At 42.5% G+C, this 22,350-nt stretch overlaps 1 protein-coding gene across 11 annotated transcripts in view, besides 9 other annotated features; it reads left to right on the forward strand.

Annotated features, from left to right (window-relative positions):
* The window catches only part of SNX25 (sorting nexin 25), a 174,406-nt gene that overhangs the window by 90,345 nt on the left and 61,711 nt on the right, over positions 1–22,350 (forward strand). For 8 of the 11 annotated variants that reach the window (NR_186775.1, NM_001317781.2, NM_001423234.1 and 5 more), the window contains one exon: positions 16,054–16,235. Coding sequence is in view for 10 of the 11 variants with exons in the window: in NM_001317781.2 (NP_001304710.1) it covers positions 16,054–16,235 (182 nt within the window). In the remaining variant the exon portion in view is untranslated. Of the gene's footprint in view, positions 1–16,053; positions 16,330–17,132; positions 17,411–17,962; positions 21,494–22,350 lie in introns of those variants that run through there. The other 3 variants (NM_001378038.2, NM_001378039.2, NM_001378040.2) reach the window with 3 other exon arrangements.
* Positions 7,547–8,047: an enhancer, noted in NCBI's record as "H3K27ac hESC enhancer chr4:186223282-186223782 (GRCh37/hg19 assembly coordinates)". NCBI's record gives its function as "activates a minimal SCP1, AML or CMV promoter by ChIP-STARR-seq in primed H9 embryonic stem cells {active_cell/tissue: H9 hESC(primed)}" and the evidence as "EXISTENCE:reporter gene assay evidence [ECO:0000049][PMID:30033119]".
* Positions 9,232–9,331: an enhancer, noted in NCBI's record as "active region_22251". NCBI's record gives its function as "activates an Ori minimal core promoter by ATAC-STARR-seq in GM12878 lymphoblastoid cells {active_cell/tissue: GM12878}" and the evidence as "EXISTENCE:reporter gene assay evidence [ECO:0000049][PMID:35858748]".
* Positions 10,220–10,409: an enhancer, noted in NCBI's record as "active region_22252". NCBI's record gives its function as "activates an Ori minimal core promoter by ATAC-STARR-seq in GM12878 lymphoblastoid cells {active_cell/tissue: GM12878}" and the evidence as "EXISTENCE:reporter gene assay evidence [ECO:0000049][PMID:35858748]".
* Positions 11,445–11,504: an enhancer, noted in NCBI's record as "active region_22253". NCBI's record gives its function as "activates an Ori minimal core promoter by ATAC-STARR-seq in GM12878 lymphoblastoid cells {active_cell/tissue: GM12878}" and the evidence as "EXISTENCE:reporter gene assay evidence [ECO:0000049][PMID:35858748]".
* Positions 11,590–12,090: an enhancer, noted in NCBI's record as "OCT4-NANOG-H3K27ac hESC enhancer chr4:186227325-186227825 (GRCh37/hg19 assembly coordinates)". NCBI's record gives its function as "activates a minimal SCP1, AML or CMV promoter by ChIP-STARR-seq in naive H9 embryonic stem cells {active_cell/tissue: H9 hESC(naive)}" and the evidence as "EXISTENCE:reporter gene assay evidence [ECO:0000049][PMID:30033119]".
* Positions 11,614–11,908: a silencer, noted in NCBI's record as "tiled region #683; K562 Repressive non-DNase unmatched - State 23:Low". NCBI's record gives its function as "represses a minimal TATA promoter and a strong SV40 promoter by Sharpr-MPRA in K562 cells {active_cell/tissue: K562}" and the evidence as "EXISTENCE:reporter gene assay evidence [ECO:0000049][PMID:27701403]".
* Positions 15,012–15,371: an enhancer, noted in NCBI's record as "active region_22254". NCBI's record gives its function as "activates an Ori minimal core promoter by ATAC-STARR-seq in GM12878 lymphoblastoid cells {active_cell/tissue: GM12878}" and the evidence as "EXISTENCE:reporter gene assay evidence [ECO:0000049][PMID:35858748]".
* Positions 15,961–16,010: an enhancer, noted in NCBI's record as "active region_22255". NCBI's record gives its function as "activates an Ori minimal core promoter by ATAC-STARR-seq in GM12878 lymphoblastoid cells {active_cell/tissue: GM12878}" and the evidence as "EXISTENCE:reporter gene assay evidence [ECO:0000049][PMID:35858748]".
* Positions 16,041–16,090: an enhancer, noted in NCBI's record as "active region_22256". NCBI's record gives its function as "activates an Ori minimal core promoter by ATAC-STARR-seq in GM12878 lymphoblastoid cells {active_cell/tissue: GM12878}" and the evidence as "EXISTENCE:reporter gene assay evidence [ECO:0000049][PMID:35858748]".

The following is a 22,350-nucleotide window of genomic DNA, read 5'->3' on the forward strand; positions in this document are numbered from 1 at the left end:
GAAGAGAAATATTTGGAAGTTACCATTATAGAGACAGTAGTTAATAGTCTTCTGTTTCTGCTATTTCCAAGTCAAATATCAGTAAAGCTGATGCTGCCGCATTATTAGAGCAGAACAATGTATTAACAATCTGAAGTGACTTCCGCTAACTCATTATACCCTCTGCTGTCTCCCCATTAAAGTTCATATGTAGGTGCTTTCAATTTTAAATAATTAAGTTATAATTTAAGTACGGATACTTTTTTTTTTTAAGAAAAAATAAGAACAAATTTAGCATTCCTCGTTGTCCTTACTTTTTCTTTTAACTCAGTATGTAGTAACTTATTGGATGTTACAGGAAGTCGCTCTTGTATTTCTGTGGTCTTTGGAGTTTTGATGTATGGCTGGCAAATAAAAGGCTAATTTATAGAATGGTTCTAGATAGCTGCATTAAAAATACCTATGTCATTGTTTCTCAGATTGACCTTCCCTTTAATTTATTTCAATAAGAATGTGTTTCCCCCTCCCATAAAAGTCATTAAAGAAAGCCAAATTTTTAGCGTTAAAAAATCTCCCCAAAATATAATTGTTGAGTTGTTTTTGGAGATCTTTGCATTTTGGAGGTAGTGTGATCTAGTGAAAATCAGACAAAGAACCAGAGAAAAGTAAGTTGTAAGTAATTTTGTTTCCAATGTTCTTTCTCCTTATTGCTGCATTCTTTTTTATAAGTGGGAAACTGAAGAAGTTTAAAAGAAGAATGAACAGATGGACGATCCTAGGAACGTTTAGTATTCAACCTAGAGATAGGAACTGTATTTGTGAATGTAGTATACATTAATACACACAATATAAATATAGTTTTGTTCCATATAAAGATGTTTCTGGTGAGTCTTTTTTTTTTTTTTTTGAGACAGGGTCTGGCTTTGTCACCCACGCTGAAGTGCAGTGGTGCAGTCACGGCTCACTGCAGTCTTGACCTCCCGGGTTCAAGTGATCCTCCCACCTCAGCTTCCCGAGTAGCTGGGATGACAGGTGCACACCACTGCATCCAGCTAGTTTTTGTATTTTTTGTAGAAATGGGGTTTCACCACGTTGCTCAGGCTGGTCTCAAACTCCTGGGCTCAATCGATCCGCCCTCCTCGGCCTCTCAAAGTGCTGTGATTAATCTGAGCCACCACACCTGGCCTGGCAAGTGTTTTTGAATCATAATTGATGTTGTGATGCAAGAGATGATATGCAATTGTGAAAATACTTTGAGGGTTTAAAGAAAAAATGCCATGTAGCAGATTGGGAGAAATTACCTGATTGTTAACTCTCTGAAACCTTAAGGGGTTAACCGCTGTCTCGCTCCATTCCTGCTGCTATGACAAAATACCACAAACTGGGTATTTACTATAAAGAAGAGAAATTTATTTCTTACTTATCTGGAGTTTGGGAATCCAGGATCAAGCCTGCGGCATTCAGTGGCTGGTGAGGGCTGCTCTCCGCTTCCAGAATGGCACCTTCTTATTACATCTCCTGGAGGGGACAAATGCTTGCTGTGTCTTGCATGATAGAAGGACATAAGGGCCTAGCTAGTTCTCTCCAGCCCTTCTATAAGGCACCAATTTCATTTCATCCTGGCCTTGTCGTCTCCTACAGGCCCCACCTGATAATACTGTAGGGAGTAAGTTTCAACATGAATTTTGGAGGGGACACAAACATTCAAACCACAGCAGCAGCTAACCGTATTGCCTTTGTTCAGGATGACATAAGACAACCCGTAGAGCTCTTTACTTTGTATATTTAGGACAGTTCAAAATAAGGCTTTTGAGGCTTCAACACACTCCAGAAAATCCACCCAAAACTGCACGTTTTAGGTTCACAGTAGATTAGTTTGTCTTAGAGAGAGAAACATTACTCTCCTTAACAAGGTGGAAATTTTTATTTGATTTTTTTCTTGATGGCCTTTTTCTTTTGGAATTTTGGTCTTTTAAAGAAATTAAGTATGATTTTAAAAATCTTTGGTGCCTCAGCTAGTTTAATTTTAATACAATTAATTCTGGGGAAAATAATTGAAATCATAGAACTAAAAAAAAAATTTTTTTTGAGACCAGCTAAGTCAGGTCTTTGTCCTATGGGCAACAAAATTACATTAGGTATAATTAGAGGGAAAGCTTTTACAGAAAACTTAACAAGTACGAAACAGTTTGAAACAATTAGTCTCTGAAGTTTTAGTTTGCTCGCAAAATTTTCTTTTCCCTGCCCCTATTTTATCATTCAAACCTGGCCACATGTTTTGACTGAGGCCTAAAATTTACCCACTGATTACATCAGCTGCCTGTTGGTCATAGAATTTGGGGAGCTTAGTGAGTCTAACTGGCTAATTTCAATGGGCTTTTTTCAGTGTTCATCTTCTTTGACCTTTCTGCGGCATTTGATATTGTTGACTGCTCAGTCTTCTTGAAATTCCACTGCCTGGGCTAACGCTCCCTGTCTTATTCTAGTTTTTTGTTGATTTTTCTGCTTATTTTCTTTACTCTATTCAGCTTTTAAATGTTGGAGTTCTTCAGGGTTTGTTCCTAACTCTTTTATACCTAATTATTTTATACCCGTGCTGCCTAATATAATTGCCATTGGCTACATGTTACTATTTAAATTTAAATGAATTAAAAGTAAGTACAAATTCAGTTCCCCAGTTACATCAGCCACATTTCAAGTACTCAGTAACCACACGTGGCTGCCATATTGGATAGTGCATTATGAATATTTCCATCATTACAGAGGTTATGTTGGGTAGCACTGCCCTACTCTAATCCTTTCCCTTATCTGTATGCTGAAGACTCCAAATTTCTGTCTGCAGAGATCCTGTACCTTTCTACTTAATCTCTGCCATCTCAACAGTTTTGTTTGGATATCTCAAAAGTGGCTCCAAATGAAAATGTCCACATAAAGTCTCACATAGCTGGGCATCTTCTGTAATTTCTTGCCTCAGTGAATGGCATCATCATCTGTCTCAGTCAATTCAGGCTGCTGTCACAAAATGCCACAGACTGGGTGGCTTAAACAACGTTTATTTCTCACAGTCTAGAGGCTGGGAGGTCCAAGATCAAGGTACTGGCAGATTTGGTGTCTGATGAGGGCCCTCTTGCTGGTTTGCAGATGGCGTCCTTGCTATATCCTCACGTGGTAGGGTGGAGTGGGGAGAAGGAGAATTCTAGTCTTTCTCTTTGAATAAGGGCTCTAACTCCATCATGGGGCTTCTACCTTCATCATCTCATCTAAATGTTTCAAAGTGCCTACCTCCTAATACTGTCTTATTGGAAGTTAACATTTCAGCAGATGAATTTTAGAGGGACACATTCAGTCCATAACACCATCTGTTCATACAAGCCACAAACCTAAGTCAACCTTGTTGATTCCTTCTCCCTTGTATACTTTATCCAGTCCATTATTATGCAGATGGACCACCTACATGTAGCTTAACTCTGTTCCCTGTCTGTACACCACTATCCTTTACCACCAGTCGCCCTCTTAACTATTATAGTAACTTCTTTTTTTTTTTTTGAGATGGAGTCTCACTCTGTCACCCAGACTGCAGTGCAATGGCACAATCTTGGCTCACTGCAACCTCTGACTCCCGGGTTCAAGCAATTCTCCTGCCTCAGCCTCCTGACTAGCTGGGATTACAGGCATGCACCACCACACCGGGCTAATTTTTGTATTTTTAGTAGAGATGAGGTTTTGCCATGTTGGCCAGGCTGGTCTCGAACTCCTAACCTCAGGTGACTCACCCGCCTCGGCCTCCCAAAGTGTTCGGATTACAGGCATGAGCCACCACACCTGACCTATAGTAACTTCTTAATTGGCCTCCTAGCATACATTTCTTTCTGTCTATGAAAAAATAATATATTTTTCATACTGAAGTCATGTGATTTTTTTTAAAAAAATACATAGCTTATGTCACCTTTGTATTTAAAACTCATCATTGTCTTCCCATTTTTCTTATAATGAAGACGCTTGACATGATCTACAAGGTCTTGCTTCCTCTGGTCACTGGCTGTATTTTCAGCTTCATCTCCTGCCCTTCCACCCTGTCTCTCTGCATTCCAGCCACATTAACTTTTCTATTTCCTGAACTCACCCTGATTCCTTGTGCCTTGTATTCTTTGCACATTCTGTTTCTTCTTCTTGAAGTGCTACCCTACTCTCGATATCACTCTGTCTAGATAACTCCTCCTTATTCATTATAGTTTATATCTACTGTCTCTTTCTTCATTGTTCACAGCCCTCCCTCCCTGGATCCTGGATAAACAAGAGCTCTTGAGTGCTGTTAGATCCGTCATGGCAGTAGAGAATGTACTCTGGAGGAAATCTTATCCACCAGAAGTGGGTTTTCAGTTACTCAACCTTTCTTGAGTACCATTGTGTATTAGGTACAGCAGTACCCTCAGATCATGGTCAACACACATGCAAAACGACAGTGCAACTTGATAAATGCAGTGAGAATTGTGTGTTCAGGATTTAGCAGTGGCACAGATGTGTGGGGTGGTCAGCCCTACCTGGAGCAGAGGTCAAGAAAGACTTCTTTTTCAGAGTAACGCTGAGTTGAGTCATAAAGGCGAGAGGCTCTCATTCATTCCCTCTGGGCTTGTCAGGGGATATGGGTGGATGGCGGCACATGCGCATAGAAAAAGAGAATCGTGAAGCAGCCTTGTGCACGTAGGTAGGTCAGATGAGATCATGTGCTCGTGCTTGATATGCAGTGGAGAGATGAGATTAATAGACAAGGCCTAAAGGGCCTGGGAGTTATCCTAGAAAGCCTGGACGTAATGCTGTAGAGCAGTGGTTCTCAAGCTATGGTGCACGTCAGCCTCACTGGAGAGCTTGTTAAAACGCAGATTGCTCACCCCCAACCCCTACCAAAAGCTTCTGGTTCTGTAGATCTCGAGTGCGCCCCAGAGTTTGCATTACCGACTGGTTCCCTGATGATGCTTGTGCTGCCTGTCCAGGAATCACACTGAGAACCACTGCTGCAGATGATACAGAGCCACTGATATATTCATATTTGCCTTTTAGTACCCAACTACCTAGCTTTTTATTTAGAACTAGACAGAACAGCTAGAGTAGTTGAGAAATGGTCTATTAAAATAAGCTGGCCAAGTGTAGGAATTCTAGTAGCTATGGGACATAAACCAGGTTTCCCCTGCAGTTTGATGTGAATGAGCCCAGCATATCTCCCTTTAAAGCTTTCTTTTTTGCTGTTCTGAATCCTGACATGTTATCAAGCATATTTAAGGTGATTCAAGAGTCATGTTCATTCAGCTTACTACAGCAAAGAACATGAGGTTGATTTGAGTACATTGGAAACTGCTGTGTATAAATAGTACACACTTGGGAGTGATACACTCAGGGTACAGATGAGGAGGTTTCGCCTTTTTATTCATTTTTAAAAATTGTATATCTTACCCAAGTGTAATTAGAGTTTTTAAAGTGTTGTAACTAAGTAGTTTTAGAATTTGTCAATTAGAACTGTAGAATATGTTGAATATGTATGTGTACATACACAAACACATAGACACTGTTACTTGCTGATAAGAATCATAACAATGTCCACTAGGAAATTTTTTTTTTTTTTGAGGTGGAGCCTCGCTCTGTCGCCCAGGCCGGAGTGCGATGGCACGATCTCAGCTCACTGGACCTCTGCCTCCAGGGTTCCAGCGATTCTCCTGCCTCATTCTTCCAAGTAGCTGGGATTACAGGCGCCTGCCCCCACACCCAGCTATTTTTTTTTTTTTTTTGTATTTTTAGTAGAGATGGGGTTTCATCATGCTGGCCAAACTGGTCTTGAATTCCTGACCTCAAGTGATCCACCCGCCTCAGCCTCCCAAATGCTGGGATTACAGGTGTGAGCCACCGCGCCTGGCCACGAATTCTTTTTTTAATGATGTTATGTAGCTTCTTTGTCCATTCTAGAATTTAAAGGTGTCCCTGCCTGAAAAAAGAGAGCTAGCTAATTATGGACTCTTGTGGACTTCTCCGGGTCTTTTCTAAAGTTTTGATGTGATCTGATTTTCTAACATTGCAGTGAAGTGATACAAACAATTCCACATTTATGAATGACCTAAACTCATAGAATGTCCTGCTATGGTTTGAATATTTATGTCCCCCCAAATTCATATGTTGAAACCTAATCACCAAGGTGATGGTATTACAAAGTGGAACCTTTGGGAGGTGATTAGGTCATGAGGGTTTCACCTTCATGCATGGGATTAATGCCTGTGGTATTATGATTATTATGACACACACACACACACACACACACACACACACACAGGTTTTCTTCCATGGTTCCTGGCTCGTAACTCACATAGCCCTTGTTACAGTGTTTTATTATACTGTTGGGGCACTTTAGGCCTCAGAAGCAGACCTCAGGAAACAGAATCTCCCTCTCTGACCTTTTCCTACCCTCCTTTCACCTGCCCAAGGCAGGACTGTCATCTGACTATGGGTCATAAGACCCTCATTCCAAAGAGGGTCCTGCCCCATACCCCAAAAGAAGAAATGCTACACAGAAGAGGCCAAGAAGAATCTAAACAGGCGGGCCTTGCTGGGTGTCCTCCTCAGTCTCTTAGTATTAGATCACACCCCTTTTGTCCAATCACATTTCAACACAGTTGTCTTCGGTCATGCCTATCCATTGAAGCCTCCATAAAAGGCCTAATGACAGTATTCAAGGAGGTTCCTGGAGGGTGACACACCCAGGGAGGGCATGGAAGCTCCGCACCCCTTCCCCCGTACCTTGCCTTGTGCATCTCTTCATCTGTATCGTTAGTCAGACTTTTTTTTTATTACCTTTGTTTTGTTTTGGAGACGGAGTCTCACTCTGTCACCCAGGCTGGAGTGCAGTGGTGCAATCTTGACTCACTGCAACCTCTGCCACCCGGGTTCCAGTGATTCTCCTGCCCCATTCTTCTGAGTAGCTGGGATTACAGGCGCCTGCACTGTGTATCTCTTCATCTGTATCCTAGTCAGACTTTTTTATTACTTTTTATTTTCTTTTTTGAGACAGAGTCTCACTCTGTTGCCCAGGCTGGAGTGCAGTGGCACAATCTAGGCTCACTGCAACCTCTGCCTCCTGGGTTCAAGCGATTCTTGTGCCTCAGACTCCTAAGTAGCTGGGACCACAGGCATGCGCCAGCACGCTCGGCTAATTTTTGTATTTTTCATAGAGACAGGGTTTCACCATGTTGCCCAGACTGGTCTCGAACTCCTGACCTCAAGTGATTGGCCCGCCTTGGCCTTCCAAAGTGCTGGGATTACAGGCGTGACCCACCATGCCTGGCCCTTAGTCACACGTTTTTTCTTCTTTTTTTTTGAGATGGAGTCTTGCTCTGTCACCCAGGCTGGAGTGCAATGGTGTGATCTCAGCTCACTGCAACCTCTGCCTCCTGGGTTCCAGTGATTCTCCTGCCTCAGCCTCCTGAGTAGCTGGGATTACAGGTGCCCGTCACCACATGCAGCTAATTTTTGTATATTTTGTGTGTGTGTGTTTTTTTTGTTTTTTTTTTTTTTTAGTAGAGACAGGGTTTCACTATGTTGGTTAGGCTGGTCTCGAACTCCGGACCTCAAGTGATCCACCCGCCTTGGCCTCCCAAAGTGCTGGGATTACATCATCAGACTTTTTATAATAAACTGGTAAATGCAAGTAAGAGTTTCCCTGAGTTCTGTGAGCTGTGGTAGTGAATTAATCAAACTCAAAGAGGGGGCTGTGGGAACCCTGACTTGAAGCTGGTTGGTCAGAAGTTCTGGAGGCCTAGACTTGCAACTAGTGTCTTGTAGGGGGGCAGTCTTGGGGACTGAACCCTCCCCCTGTGGGATCTGGCACTGTCTTTAAGTGGAGAGCACCAGAATTGAATTAGAGGACACCCAGCACTAGCTTGGTGTTTGGGGAAAAAACCTCCACACATTTGGTCACAGAAGTCTTTGGTATTGATTGTTGTGGTGTGAAAGCAAAGGAAAAATGCAGTTGGAGTTGGGTTTTCCTTGCAGTGCCCTTATAAAAGAGGCCTCAGAGACTGCCTTGCACCTTCTGCCATGTGAGGATGTGGTGCGGAGACGCCGACTCTGCCAGCACCTTGCTTGTGGACTTCCAGCCTCCAGAGCTGTGCGGAGTAAATGTCTGTTGTTCGAAAGCCATGCAGTCTGTGGTGTTCTGTTAGAGCCAACCACCTCTCAGGCTGTTTCCCTGCCATTGCCCCAAGGGCTCTTGCGAGGGTTCCTCCCTGCCCAGTCCTTGAACCTCCAGCACTACCTCCAGTGCCTGCTGTCCCTTCCCCACTGTCACCACCTGGCCCCCACTCATTCCCTGCCTGAAGGTCTGTGGGCTCGGGCACTTCCATTGCACTCACTATAGTCTCATGAGTTTATAACCAACTCTACTCACCCTCTCTCCCCAAGAAGAACTTTAGTCCTCGTAGACTCTAACACCTGCATTTTATAACAAATAAAGCTCATGTCCAGAGATGTTAAACAACTGACCTGGTTTGAATAGAGCTAGTTAGTCACACACAAATCCGAAACTTGAGCCCAAGTCTCCTGAGTTTCGTCCTGGGCTCCTGCTCACAACAAGCATTGTATGGGTCAGATCTGAGTTCCGGGTGTATATCTCAAATCTGCTCAGCTCACAGTGCTGATTTGGGAACGGGGTTCTGCTTGTAATTTTATATGTGGATTTAATTGCTATATTATTCCTTTAAAAACATATTGCAAGCCTGTTGGAGGGCCTTAAACCAAGGGGAGTGCTAGGAGTTCCAGCACCAAGACATTAAACGAAGGTGCAGGGCGTGGTGGCTCACGCCTGTAATCCCAGCACTTTGGGAGGCCGAGGTGGGTGGATCACGAGGTCAGGAGATCGAGACCATCCTGGCTTACGCAGTGAAACCCCGTCTCTACTAAAAATACAAAAAATTAGCCGGGCGTGGTGGTGGGCACCTGTAGTCCCAGCTACTTGGAAGGCTGAGGCAGGAGAATGGCATGAACCTGGGAGGCGGAGCTTGCAGTAATCTGAGATTGCACCACTGCACTTCAGCCTGGGCGACAGAGCGAGACTCTGTCTCAAAAAAAAAAAAAAAAAAAAAAAGCAAGGCAGGGCACACAGTGGGCACACCCTGGCCGGGCTGCACAAAGTCCATGTGTCTCTGTACTCTTCTCCATCATAAAGTGAGTGATTCCGCCATCAACTCCTGTACGATTTCTGCTATTCCTCAAATATACTCTCCACTGAAGTGGAGTGACACGTTAGACTATGAAATCTCAGGTGTTTAGAGTGGTAAGAGAAGCCCATTTGTTCTTTTCAAAAAAGGACATACCAGCCTCAGGTTGAAAAGTAAGGCAAATATTTTTTTGAGTTCCTTAGCAACTGTTGAGGTGATTTCTAGATAATTTTGAAGAAGTCTGTGATGATTGGTAACTACTGAGAATTGCTGCCAGCTTTGTGTTAAGAGGTCAAGTACCATTTCTCACTTCAAATCTTGACTAGTCCCTAAGTAAATATATACCTGTTTCTTGAACCCTTCCATCAAGAGGATTTAGTAAAACTTCTGTTTACTTATTTATATTTTAGAGACATGTTCTCACTCTGTCACCCAGGCTGGAACATAGAGACGTGATCATAGCTCACTGTAACCTCAAACTCCTGGCTTTAGTGATCACGGCTCACTGCAGCCTCGACCTGCTGGGCTCAAGTGATCCTTCTGCCTCAGCCTCCTGAGTAGCTAGGACTACAGGTGCATGCCACCACGCCTGGCTAATTTTTAAACTTATTTTGTTTTTTTGAGATGGAGTTTTGCTCTTGTTGCCCAGACTGGAGTGAAATGGCGCATCTCGGCTCACCTCAACCTCCACCTCCTGGGTTCAAGCAATTCCCCTGGCTCAGCCTCTCGAGTAGCTGGGATTACAGGCATGCGCCACCATGCCCGGCTAATTTAGTGTTTTTAGTAGAGAAGGGGTTTCTCCATGTTGATCAGACTGGTCTCCAACTCCCAGCCTCATGTGATCTGCCTGCCCCAGCCTCCCAAAGTGCTGGAATTACAGGCGTGAGCCACCACACCGGGCCTAAATTTTTTTTTATAGAGACAGAGTCTTGCTGTGTTGCCCAAGCTGGTTTTAAACTCCTGGCCTCAAGCCATCCTCCCACTTCAGCCCTGCACAGTGCTGGTATTACAGGCATGAGCCACCACATCCAGCCTAAAACTTTTATTTGAATATACAAGAAAGATTCAACAGCTGGTTAGTCTGTCAGTGCACATACAGTTGATTGGAGAACCAGCATTTTCTAGGGAGGAAGTCTCTATTCCATATGTCGATTGCCTGCATTTCACGAGAAGACCTGAGCATCCTGGGCAGAGGAGAGAAGAGAGCCCATGTTGAGGAGTGAGGGAAGGGGAAGGAGGGTGCGGCCTTGTCCTCTGTTTGCTCTAACCTTCTTGTTAGAGGAGCAGGTTGTACCTCTGTATCAGCACTGCTAAGTGGGGCCAGGTGGAGGGTAGGAGGTGGCAGTTTTGCTCCCCAGGGGACATGTGACAATAGTCTGGAGACATTTTTGGTTGTCGTCTTTGGGGGAAGGGATGCTACTGGCATCTAGTGGTAGAGGCTAGGCATGCTGCTAAACATCCTGCAGTACACAGGACAGCCCCCCACAGCTGAGAACTACCCTGTCCAAAATGTCAGTAGTGCTGAGGTTGAGAAACCCTGCCCTGTATTATCCATTAAATCCCTCAGTGAGTCTGCTGAGGATGCTGCCATTATGATATGCCCTGGAACATGATAGCATGTTATGAGGGAAGGAAAATATTCTACTGTTGGTGTTTTTCTTTTTTTATACCTGAAAAGCACAGTGGTGCCATTTTAATCCAGTTGTACTATTTCTGGAGTCATGAGTTTGCACTTTAAGTTACTTTGCTCTCTGCTGCCTCATTAGAAATAGCATCTAACAGTTGTCGTTAGATGTTGCTGTTTTTGTTTTACTGCAAGCCACTTCACTTGCTTAAGGAAGAATTATATCATGGGCAGGGGATTTATAGCGAAAAGCATTTCTGTGATGTTATTCGTAAGTCTGTTGTAATGTCTTTGTAGCCAAAAGGGTTTACCTAATGTCTAATATAAATGTCTTTTTCACCAAATGAACCCAAATTCACCCATTTCCTTTTGCTCTGATCTCAGTAGAACCTAGACTATCTAGACGGAAAAACAGTAAATATTTGAACTAATTGCTTTGGAATATTATAGGTTAGTGCGAAAGTAATCACTTTTTTTGCCATTAAAAGTAATGGCGAAACCCGTGATTACTTTTGCACTAACCTAACATCATGTGTGTGTTCATCTTGGCACCAGTTTAAAGACACACTGCCATCCGGTGTTTCACTGGCCACTTCTTTTTAAAGCTAGATTAAATGTTGTGTGATTAACCCAGTTTCTAACAATGCACAGTGTTACTACTTAACACTCTATAGAGAAACAGCCACATAACTCTGGCATGAGCTGGGTCACGGGGTGTTGTCACACACCCACTCGCCTATACTTTTCTTGATGTGAATATTTCTTGGATGAATGGGTTTTAAGGCCACAAAGAAATGTATTCATCTGCATCACTGGATTTACAAGGATTTTTGCATGCCAGCAGCATGGGATGCATGAGCTCCACGTTAGTCATTTAGCTCTGAATGTGGCATTCGCTTTCTGAGGCAAAAATAAACAGAACCATCTAAGCAACAAGCTGCTGTTGCATTTGTTAGCAACAAGCTTTGTGATCAGACAATGGCATTGTATGGCCCATTATCAAACAGAACGCATTCACGTGAGCAAGCCACATTTAAGCGGAGCACCAAAACATTCTTCCCAGCCTTGCAGCTGGGTTTTAGGGAAGGGTTATTCTCTTTCTTACTTCTCTTTGGAATTTTCTTCTAGGTTTTGTCCTTTTAGAAAGGCGTTTTAAGCTCTCTTTGGGTAAAAAGAATGTAATGGTTGGTAAATGGGTGTCAGTTTTCTCCTATATTTCTCTCTCTTTATTAACATGTTTTAACCCCAAATTAAAATTGAGGTCTAGGTTTGTTTTATAAATAAGAGGCAACTTTAGTCCCAGAATTTTTAGATTAACTTAAACATTATACACAAACTATGAAGTTTAAGGATATATATTTTAAAAGTAAAAGTTTTCTTGAAAAATTAGGTCTTCCAAGCTTGCATTTCCTTAGGTACACTCACAAAACATCTTAGTTTGCAATAGACTAATTTTGGGGCAAACTACATTTACCTTCATCCTCCCACAAAGGAGTCTCTGAAATACTATTTTTTTCCTGTTGAGATAAATGCTAAATTAGTGAGTTCTTTAGGCAGGTCCTGACTGTTGGCCAAGTATAACACAAGTTCAGAAACCATTATTGAAGTAAATGAAAATGGGATGAAAAGATGTCTGATAATACCTGACAGATCATCTTGAACAAGTCCATGTATTGACCTGAGGCCTGCCTGTGGCCCTTTGTGTTAAGTACCGGAAAAGCTGCTTCTGATAAAAACGTATTATGGTGCTGTGTCTAAGTTTTTTCAGCTAATTTTGCAGCCTCCCTGAGTGCTATGTTATACATTTGACTAATTGGGACCTGAGATGGGTAATGACCATCCTAGGGAACCGGATGGAGGTCTCCAGCTGGGAGGATGTGCAAACCATTACTTAGACTGCACTCGTGGGAACCAAGAGACAAAACACAAATGCTCTTTTATCATTGGTAGTTTCATATCTAAGCGAGGTATGTGCTGACTCACCTCCAGAGAGTGTGCTCTCACCTGTCCAGATATGTAGTTCCCATGCCTAGGGAGGAGCATTCTGTTTCTCTAGCGGTCCTCTGGGCCCTGAGCATTCCTGGCAGTCCTGCTGAGCTCTCTTTGCATGAGAGATTCCACACTTGCCCCTTTACCTCAGGCCTCTGATCACTCAGTCTTTTACCCCCTCACTCCACACAGACGACTTTGCTCTCTACTTGGACAAAACTGAATCCATATAAAGGGAACTACTCTGGCATCCAGCTATGTCTGCAAACTTCCTCATATCCAATGTCCACCTGCTCTGCCTTCCATGTTACTACAGTGGAGGAGGTAGCCTTTCTCCAAAGCTGATCTCTGATCTCTTCACCTGTCTTCTGGATTCCATTCCTTGTCTGTCACCTTTCTCAACTTTTATTTATTTATTTATTTTGCTCTGCTGCTCAAGCTGGAGTACAGGATCATCACTCACTGCAACCTCAAATTCCTGGACTCAAGTGAACCTCCCTCCTCAGCCTCCTGAGTATCTGGAACTATAGGCATGCACTGCCACACCTAGCTAAGTTTTTAAAAAACTTCTTGTAGAGATGGGGTTTAGTTATATTGCCCAGGCTGGTCTCAAGCACCTACCCTCAAGTGACCCTGCTGCCTCAGCCTCCCAAAGTGCTGGCATTACAGGTGGGGGCCACCACGCCGGGCCCACACCTCTCTTTACTTTTAACTGATTTCTTCTCCTCAGCATTAAAACCAGTTCAGTTCTCTCTCACTTAAAACAAAAACATGCCTTCCCTCACCCCAACCCTTGCCTTCAGGTATATATACACAGCCAGCCCATTCTCCACAAGCTGTAATACTCAAATGTTTAGTCATTTTTAAAAATTAATTTTTATGAGTTTTTTGCTTTTGCTTTAAATGATATGTCAACTTGAGAAAACATTGTTACTGGTTTTAAATTTGAAAAAATATTTGCTTGACGTGGCATAACTTGTAAGTAACAGAGCCGGGATTCTAACCTAACTCTGATTGCAGACTCTTCTGAAAACTCTCCACTGGATTTGACCTGGGGGTCCCTAGTGATCTTGGCAACAGCAGATTTGGTGGAGGGAGCGTTAGAAGCCAGATAGGAGTCCTTGAAGAGTAGGAGTTGAGGATGCTCACCCTCTTTCTTTCTTCCTCAGCCCCAAATTCTAGAAAGAACACAATACCTGATACATATTAGCAAAATGTACCATTTGAGAGTTCATTGATCCATTCAACTCCTGTTTAATGAGCGTCTCCTTTGCTGCCAGGCACTGTTGTAGGTGCTGGGGATATAGCAGTGTATACATAGATAAACACCTACTTTTATGAGGATATATTTACGATCTCCCTTGTCAGCTTCTCTTCCCCCTTACTCTTAAGAGTAAGGTTTATCTCAGTTGTGTCTAGGATTATTTGTTTCCTCCTGGGTTGTCTCACACACTCCCATGATGTCATTTACTATCCCAGAGCTGAATGTTTCCGAACTCTAGACCTTCTCTCTCCACCTAGGTAGCTCAGAAGCCCGCAGACTCATTTTGCCTGTTTGGTTGTCTTTTACTGTGTAACAAACTACCCTAAAACATAGTGTCTTTAACAACAGCCATTTATTTTGCTCATGAAGCTGCAATCTGGGCAGGGTTTGGAAGTAATGACTCTTCTCTGTGTCACGTGACGTCAGCTGGAGTGGCTTGACTGGGGTGGGACGGTTTACTTTCAGGATGGTGTACTCACACGGTGCCTCATTGGTGCTGAATATGAGCTTGAGATCTCAGCCAGAGCTGTGGTTCGGGGAGCCTCGGTTCCTCTCCATATAGATCTCTCCAAGGACTGATGGCTTAGGCTTCCTCAAAGCATGGAAGCCTCGGGGCAGGTGAGCCACTTACATAGTGACCCAGAGCTCCAAGCCCTTGGTCTTTTATGATCTAGCCTTGGAAGTCATAGCATCACTTTCGTCATATTCGTAACCCCAACCAGATTCAAGAAAAGGAAACATATTCTACTTTGCAGAGGCAGATTGTCAGAGGGACATCGTAAAAAGAGCATGTGAGATGGAAGACATTGCAGCCGTTTTTGGAAAATATCACCTGCCATATTGTCCAGAGTTGAGTTAGCATCTTCCACAAACCTGCTTTTTCTCCAGTGTTTCTAGCTTAGTAATTGGCCCCACCATCCCTCTGGCTTCTCATGTTGGAAACCTAGGAGCCATATTTGATACCTTTTAATTCCTCGGCAACCTACCCTCTACCCTGCCCAGCCAGTCACTGGGTCCAGACATCCTCTTGTCCTCTCTACTGGCCTGCCATAACCCTGGTGTAGGCCATCACTATCTCCCTCCTCAGTTGTACTGCAATGGTCTTCTAGCTGGTCCTCCTCCTAGCAGCCTTCCTTCTTCCAACCTATCTTTTATCCTGCTTCCTATGTAATCATGAAAGATACAAATACATTTATGGCACATTCCTGCTTAAAATCCATTAAAGCTTCTCAGTACTTTTGGGCTAGAGCCTTTCTCTGGCCTGAAAGGCTGTGCACCTCATGGCTTCTGCCAGCATCAGAGTTATTTTGGATCTTCTGGCTCCTTTTGCACCTGCTCTAACGGCCTTCTTTCAGTTCCTCGAAAGCTCTGTTCTCTTTCCTGCCTGTTTCTCACTTTGACACTCGCTATTCTTTCTGTCTGCCATACTCTACTCATTATTCATGTTTGTTTAAAATAATTTCCTCAAAGAAGCCTGAGTTAGAATCTTCTGTTAAACAGTTCAGTGGTATCTGCATGTTTTCTTTATAGCCCGTGTTATAGGTGCTTGGATTCCTCTCTTTGGATTTCTTACTTGCTAGACTCTTAAAAGTCCATGAGAGCCAACAATTGGTCTTCAATCTCAAAAGCCTAGCTGGTGTCTTGACACATAACTAGCACCCAGTACATGCTTATGAATGAGTATTTGTACGTACACATTCATATAAAGATGTTAAAGAATACACACACAGATTTGTGAGTGCATTTGTACAGAGGTTTTTTTAAAAAAATGTTTTACCTTTGGGTAAGATTTGTCAGTGGTATATTTAGAAATTATATTTAGAAATGATTGGCATTTTTATTTGGGAGTATGTATATGTATTTATCATGGATTCTGTTCTGTTATTTTGTTTAGTATCCACTTGGTTCAGAATGCCCACAGCAGACACTGATCTGGTTCTGAATTGCTGTGTCCTTTCATGCCTTGTCCTCTGACCAGGTACTGTTTCTCACTCCTATTCAAGGTAAAGAAACTGCGGCAATGAAAGCTGATCTCCTGAGGGCCAGGAACATGAAGAGGTACATCAACCAACTGACTGTGGCAAAGAAGCAGTGTGAGAAGAGAATCCGAATCCTGGGAGGCCCTGCCTATGACCAGCAAGAGGATGGGGCCCTGGATGAGGGGGAAGGGCCTCAAAGCCAGAAGGTAGAACTTTATAGTTTCTTGTTTTGACCCTACCAAGTTTATTATAAATGCTGATAGAACTACATATAAAGACTTTCAACTTTTTAGTATTGAACTTAGACATGTGTGCCATAACTACACACTGACATTTGCTCTATGAGTCAAGGAGCTACATTCCTTGGTGTCCTTGACCTGTATGGGTGGTAATAGGTATAGATAGGCCTTGGGTGTGTGCATGTGTGTGTGCGTGTGTGGATATTTTTCCATCTTCCCTTTGTCCTCCCCAGAGGACCCAGAAGAGCATATTTATATTTACAAGACTCCAATCAAGTTTCCCATTATCAATTGAATAGAAATAACCACCTATGAAGTAGGAGGCATCTTCTAAATTATTTTTACTTAACTCTTGCCACAATATTATGAAATTTCTACTTGATATCTTCATTGATGAAATGGTGGGTTTAAGTATCTTGCCTAATACCACATAGATAGGAAAAGCTAGAACAAGATAAAAACCCAGATCTGACTGGTTTGCAAATGTGAGTGCTTTCTCACTGAACCATAACATCTCTCTGACTGTTTTTGTACTGTAAAACTTCAGACTGTCTGTCAATACCAACCAAATCACGGAGCTTAGGGAAGTGTTTTAGCCCTACCTCAGTACCTGTCCTAACTCTGAAGGACCAAACTTGTCTTCCAAGACCTGGAGCATACTAAGATAGAAGGAAGCAGCCACGTGACCCACTCAGGAGCTTAGCTGTGCCGTGGAAGGAACAGGACCTCAAAGCAGATGCCAGACTCCTCTCTGTAATGTGTCCTTTAGCTACAAAGAGGCCAACACTGGTATAATGTAACTCAAGCTACAGCCTCTAACCTCACTTGTTCTGATTTTCAGTCTCTTGATTCTTTCCTGTTTAGCTCTCGGTTCTACTTCAGCTACTCATCTGTGATGTTCCCCTGCCTCCCTATTCCAGTGATCAGCCTTGACTTTCTTAGTTTCTGGCTAGTCTCTGTTAGAGCCTCTGCAGGAAGGGCCAGCCCCAGCATACGCCAGGGTTCTACAGCATCTTACACAAGTGGTGCAAATGCAGCTCCAAGGAACTCTTGTTTTTATAATCCTCTAACCACAGGAAGTCTGTTGATGTTGCTATTAGCAAAATAAAATAAAATAAAATAAAATTTTTGAGATACTGGCATTGTGTTCCAGATGGAAATGTAGCATTTTGGTGAATCAGAGAGATGGTAGATTTGACAGGTTGAATATTGCCCCCTTCCTCCTCCTCATTAGCTTTTTGGTTTTGGCCTCTTAGATTAATTTCTAGCCACATTTATTGTAGATGAGGTCTTTGTCTTATGTCCCATTCATTCATTCATTCATTCAACAGACATTTATTGAGGGCCCACAACATCTCAGTTACAGTGCTAGGTACTAGGATTAAAAATAAATAAGATAGAATCCCTGCTCTCAAAGAGTCCCATATAATTATAAAATAAAAAGGTAAGTGATCCAGTAGAGATATGAGATAAATACCTAGGAGAAGCACATAATGGCTTGCTACCTAGTCAAAAGATGATATGCTTTTAGATGTTGTGGTACAGGAAGATCTCAAGAAAGATAATGGAAACTCATTTTGGGAGAATTAAATGTGATTTCAGTACAGGTTGTCTATCTGGCAGTGTCTACTAGAAGTAGACTTAACCCAGAGTGCCAGATCATTTTTGATTTGTTCTTTTTTTTTTTTTTTGAGATGGAGTCTCACTCTGTCGCCCAGGCTGGCATGCATTGGCGCGATATCGGCTCACTGCAACCTCCACCTCCCGGGTTCAGGCCATTCTCCTGCCTCAGCCTCCCGAGCAGCTGGGACTACAGACGCCCGCCACCACACCCAGCTAAATTTTTTTTGTATCTTTAGTAGAGACGCGGTTTCACTGTGTTAGGCAGGATGGTCTCGATATCCTGACCTCATGATCTGCCCACCTCAGCATTCCAGTGTGTTGGGATTACAGGCGTGAGCCACTGCGCCTGGCCTTGATTTGTTCTTTTCAGACATTCAGGAAAAGAGAAACTCATTTCTGTTGCAATAATTCATCCTCAGAGTAAAACCATTTCCTCTAATCTTCAGGATGGAAGGCTAAGATAAGACAGAATTCCAATAGTTATGGTCATTTGCTATTTGAAAGGTAAGACTTTGGTTAGTTTGGGGCCATTCTGATGTCTTCATGAGTGGGAAGAAAACTTTTGCTATGACCTAATCATATGTGATCCAGAAGAATTACCATTAACTTTATTTCAGAATTTAGACTTCCAAATCAGGTTAATCCTCCAATTAAAAGAAAGATTCAGAGTGAATTTTTTAAAAGGCAAGGCAGTTATATGTTGCTTACAAGAAACTAAACATAAAGGCACAGATAAGTTGGAAGTAAGAGGGAAAAAGACATGCGAATACTAAGTATAAGAGATCTAGAGCAGCTACTGTGAATATCAGACAAAATAGACTTCGGAACAGGAAGTAGAACCAGAGATGAAGAACCTTTCATTATGATAAAGGAGTCAGTTCGTCAGGAAGATAGAATAATCAAATGTTCTCAATCAATAAAGAGACCTTTAGAGTGTACATGAAGCGAAACCTGACAGAAATGAGAAAAAATGTCACAAGTAGAGTTGGAAATGTTAACAGTCCCCCTCAGTAATATCAGTAATAGGAAAATCTGGAAAATTCCCAAATATTTGGTAGCATATCTAAATAAGGCTTCCATCAAAGAAGAAATTATAAGGAAAATTAGGAACTATTTTCAATGGAGTGAATATGCAATATATCCCACAATTATTTGTGGGATACATTATGATATGTATATTGTGGGATATATTGTGCAGTTAAAGCACCACTTACAGGAATTATGTACAGTTGGCCCTTGAACAATGTGGGGGTTAGGAGTGCTGACTCTCCCCTGAGCAAAAATTCACATATAACTATGGAGTCTCCAAAAGCTTAACTGCCCATATCCTACTATTAACTGGAAGCCTTACCAATAATAGTCAGTTAACACAGATCTTGTATGTTATGTGTATTATATACTGTACTGTTAGAATAAAGTAGGCTATAAAGACAAATGAAAATGTTACTAAGAAAATCATAAGGAAGAGAAAATATTTTTACTACTCACTAAGTGGAAGTGGATCATCACAAGGGTTTTCATCCGCATCATCTTCCTGTTGTCTAGGCAGAGCAGGAGGAAGAGGGGTCAGTCTTGCTGTGTCAGGGGCGGCAGATGTGGAAGAAAACCCTGTACGAGTGGGCCTGTGCAGCTCAAACTCATGTTGCTCAAGGGTCAACTGTACTTTTTAATGCTTATAGCAGAAGCGAAGAAAGGTATGAAATCAGTGATCTAATCTTTTAAGAAGCTATAAATTGGCCCAGTGAGGGGGCTCATGCTGGTAATTCCAGCACTTGGCGGGCAAAGACAGGAGGATCGCTTGAGGCCAGGAGTTAGAGACCAGCCTGGGAACATACAAGACTCCCCTCTCTACAAAAAAAAAAAAAAAAAAAATTAAAAGAAGCTGTAAATAAAAACTAAAATAACTAGAAGGAAGGAAAGAAAAAAGATACAAATTGCCAGTATTAGGAATGAAATAGGACATCACTAACAGATGCTACATACATTCAAAGGAGGCTAAGGGAATAATGTGGACAACTTCAAGCCAATAAATTTGACAATTTAAATGGAAGAGACAAATTCCCTGGAAGACACAAATTACCAAAACTGATTCAAAAAGAAATGGAGGCTGGGCGCAGTGGCTCACGCCTGTAATCCCAACACTTTAGGAGGCTGAGGCAGGCGGATCACGAGGTCAAGAGATCGAGACCATCCTGGCCAACTTGGTGACACCCCATCTCTACTAAAAATACAAAAATTAGCTGGGAGTGGTGGTGGGCACCTATAATCCCAGGTACTCGGGAGGCTGCGGCAGAAGAATCACTTGAACCCGGGAGGCGGAAGTTGCAGTGAGCCGAGATCACGCCACTGCACTCAAGCCTGGCGACAAAGTGAGACTCTGTCTCAAAAAAAAAAAAAAAAAAGACAAAAAGAAATAGAAACTCTGAATAACCCACAATTTATTGAAGAATATAATAATAATCTAAAACCTTCCCGGCTGGGCGCGGTGGCTCACGCCTGTAGTCCCAGCACTTTGGGAGGCCGAGGCGGGCGGATCACGAGGTCAGGAGATCGAGACCATCCTGGCTAACACAGTGAAACCCCGTCTCTACTAAAAATACAAAAAATTAGCCGGGCGCGGTGGTGGGCGCCTGTAGTCCCAGCTACTCAGGAGGCTGAGGCAGGAGAAGGGCGTGAACCTGGGAGGCGGAGCTTGCAGTGAGCCGAGATTGTGCCACTGCACTCCAGCCTCAGAGACAGAGCAAGACTCCATCTCAAAAAAAAAGAAAAGAAAAGAAAACCTTCCCACAGAACTCCAGACTCAGATCATTTCACTGGTGATTTTTTTTTTTTTTTTTTTGAGGTGGAGTCTTCCTCTGTTGTTCAGGCTGGAGTGCAGTGGTGCCATCTCAGCTCACTGCACCCTCCGCCTCCCAGATTCAAGCAATTCTCCTCCCTCAGCCTCCCGAGTACCTGGAATTACAGGCGTGCACCACCACGCCCAGCTAATGTTTGTATTTTTAGTAGAGACAGGGCTTCACCATGTTGGCCAGGCTGGTCTCAACCTGCTAAGTTCAGGTGATCCGCCTGCCTCTGTCTCCCAAAGTGCTGGGATTACAGGCATGAGCCACTGTGTCTGGCCTCACTGGTAAATTCTATAAAACATGTAAGGAAGAGATAATACCAATCTTAACCATACTCTTTCAAAAAACGGAGAAGGGAACACTTCAACTCATCCTAGGAGGAGACTAGCACAATTCTAATACCAAACCAGAGGAAAAAAAAACTTCAAAATGGTGTCTCTCATGACCCTGGACAGAAAAGTCCTTAACAAAAATACTGGTAAATCAGATTCAACAATCTGTAATTCACAAAGATAACATCAGTATATGTTCTCCTGACAGTGGGTCCTTAGTATAATCATTGTCTACTTCATTTCTTTGCAATGCTATTATTAAGGCTTGATGGAATATTTATTTTTTAAACAGCTTAATTAAGGTATAATGACATGCAATATACTGCTCATATTTAAAGTGTACAATATGATAAGTTTTGACATACACATATATTCAATGAAACCATTGCCACAATCAAGATAATAAACAGATCCATCACCCACAAAAGTTTTTTATGTCCTTTGTAATTTCTCTTTGGAGCCCAGTTGAGAATCACTGCTAATCCTTTTATCCATATTTATGTAACTAGAAAGTGACTTCTTAACTATCCTGATTTTTGGCACTTATCAGTGCCTTCTCTTTCTCCTGGTTCAGGCTCTTCCTGATTAGTTTTTGTTGTTGTCTTTCGTGATTCAGAACAGTTATTATTAACAAGTCTCCGAACAACCTGGAAAGTAGATGGTATTATTCACATTTTATGGGTGAAAAAACTGAGGCGCAGAGAGATAGAGTAACATAGAGCTCACAGAACTGGAAAGTCGCAGAGTCAGGATTGAAACCTACATGTATCTACCTCCAAAGCCTGAGCAACTCTAACTGCACAGTGTTGCCTTCCTATCTTGCTTTGTTTTGAAAACAAAAAGTCTGTGTTGCCTTATCTTTTTGCAAGGTAGCACCCCCCACACCAGTGGCCCCAAAATGGAAAGATGGAAGGAAGAATTAAAATAAGGGTTGAAGAGGAAATGGAAATAGGAGTACATGGAGTTTGGAAATCAGTGGCAATAAATGGCAGATCTTTTCTTTAAGGCCAATTTACATATCAGTTTACTTATTTGACCCAGGGTCAAGCCAAAATGAACACTGCCAAATGCAGCCAGGACTCGACTTGAGTGTGAAAGGGTTTCCTGGCTCTTTCTGTTGATACTGGAGTTGTTGGCCCATCTTCCCTAGCCAAATTGATATGGGTTCCTTTAAACCTCTTTGGAGCATGTACAGTTAGGATTTTGTGCTTCAAAATGCTTCACTGGTAGAGTTTACATAAAGTCAAATGTTATAGTGTTCCACAGCTAGTAAACTAACTAAAT

This window comes from Homo sapiens, chromosome 4 (genome assembly GCF_000001405.40).
Source record: "Homo sapiens chromosome 4, GRCh38.p14 Primary Assembly".
NCBI classification, from domain to species: domain Eukaryota; kingdom Metazoa; phylum Chordata; class Mammalia; order Primates; family Hominidae; genus Homo; species Homo sapiens.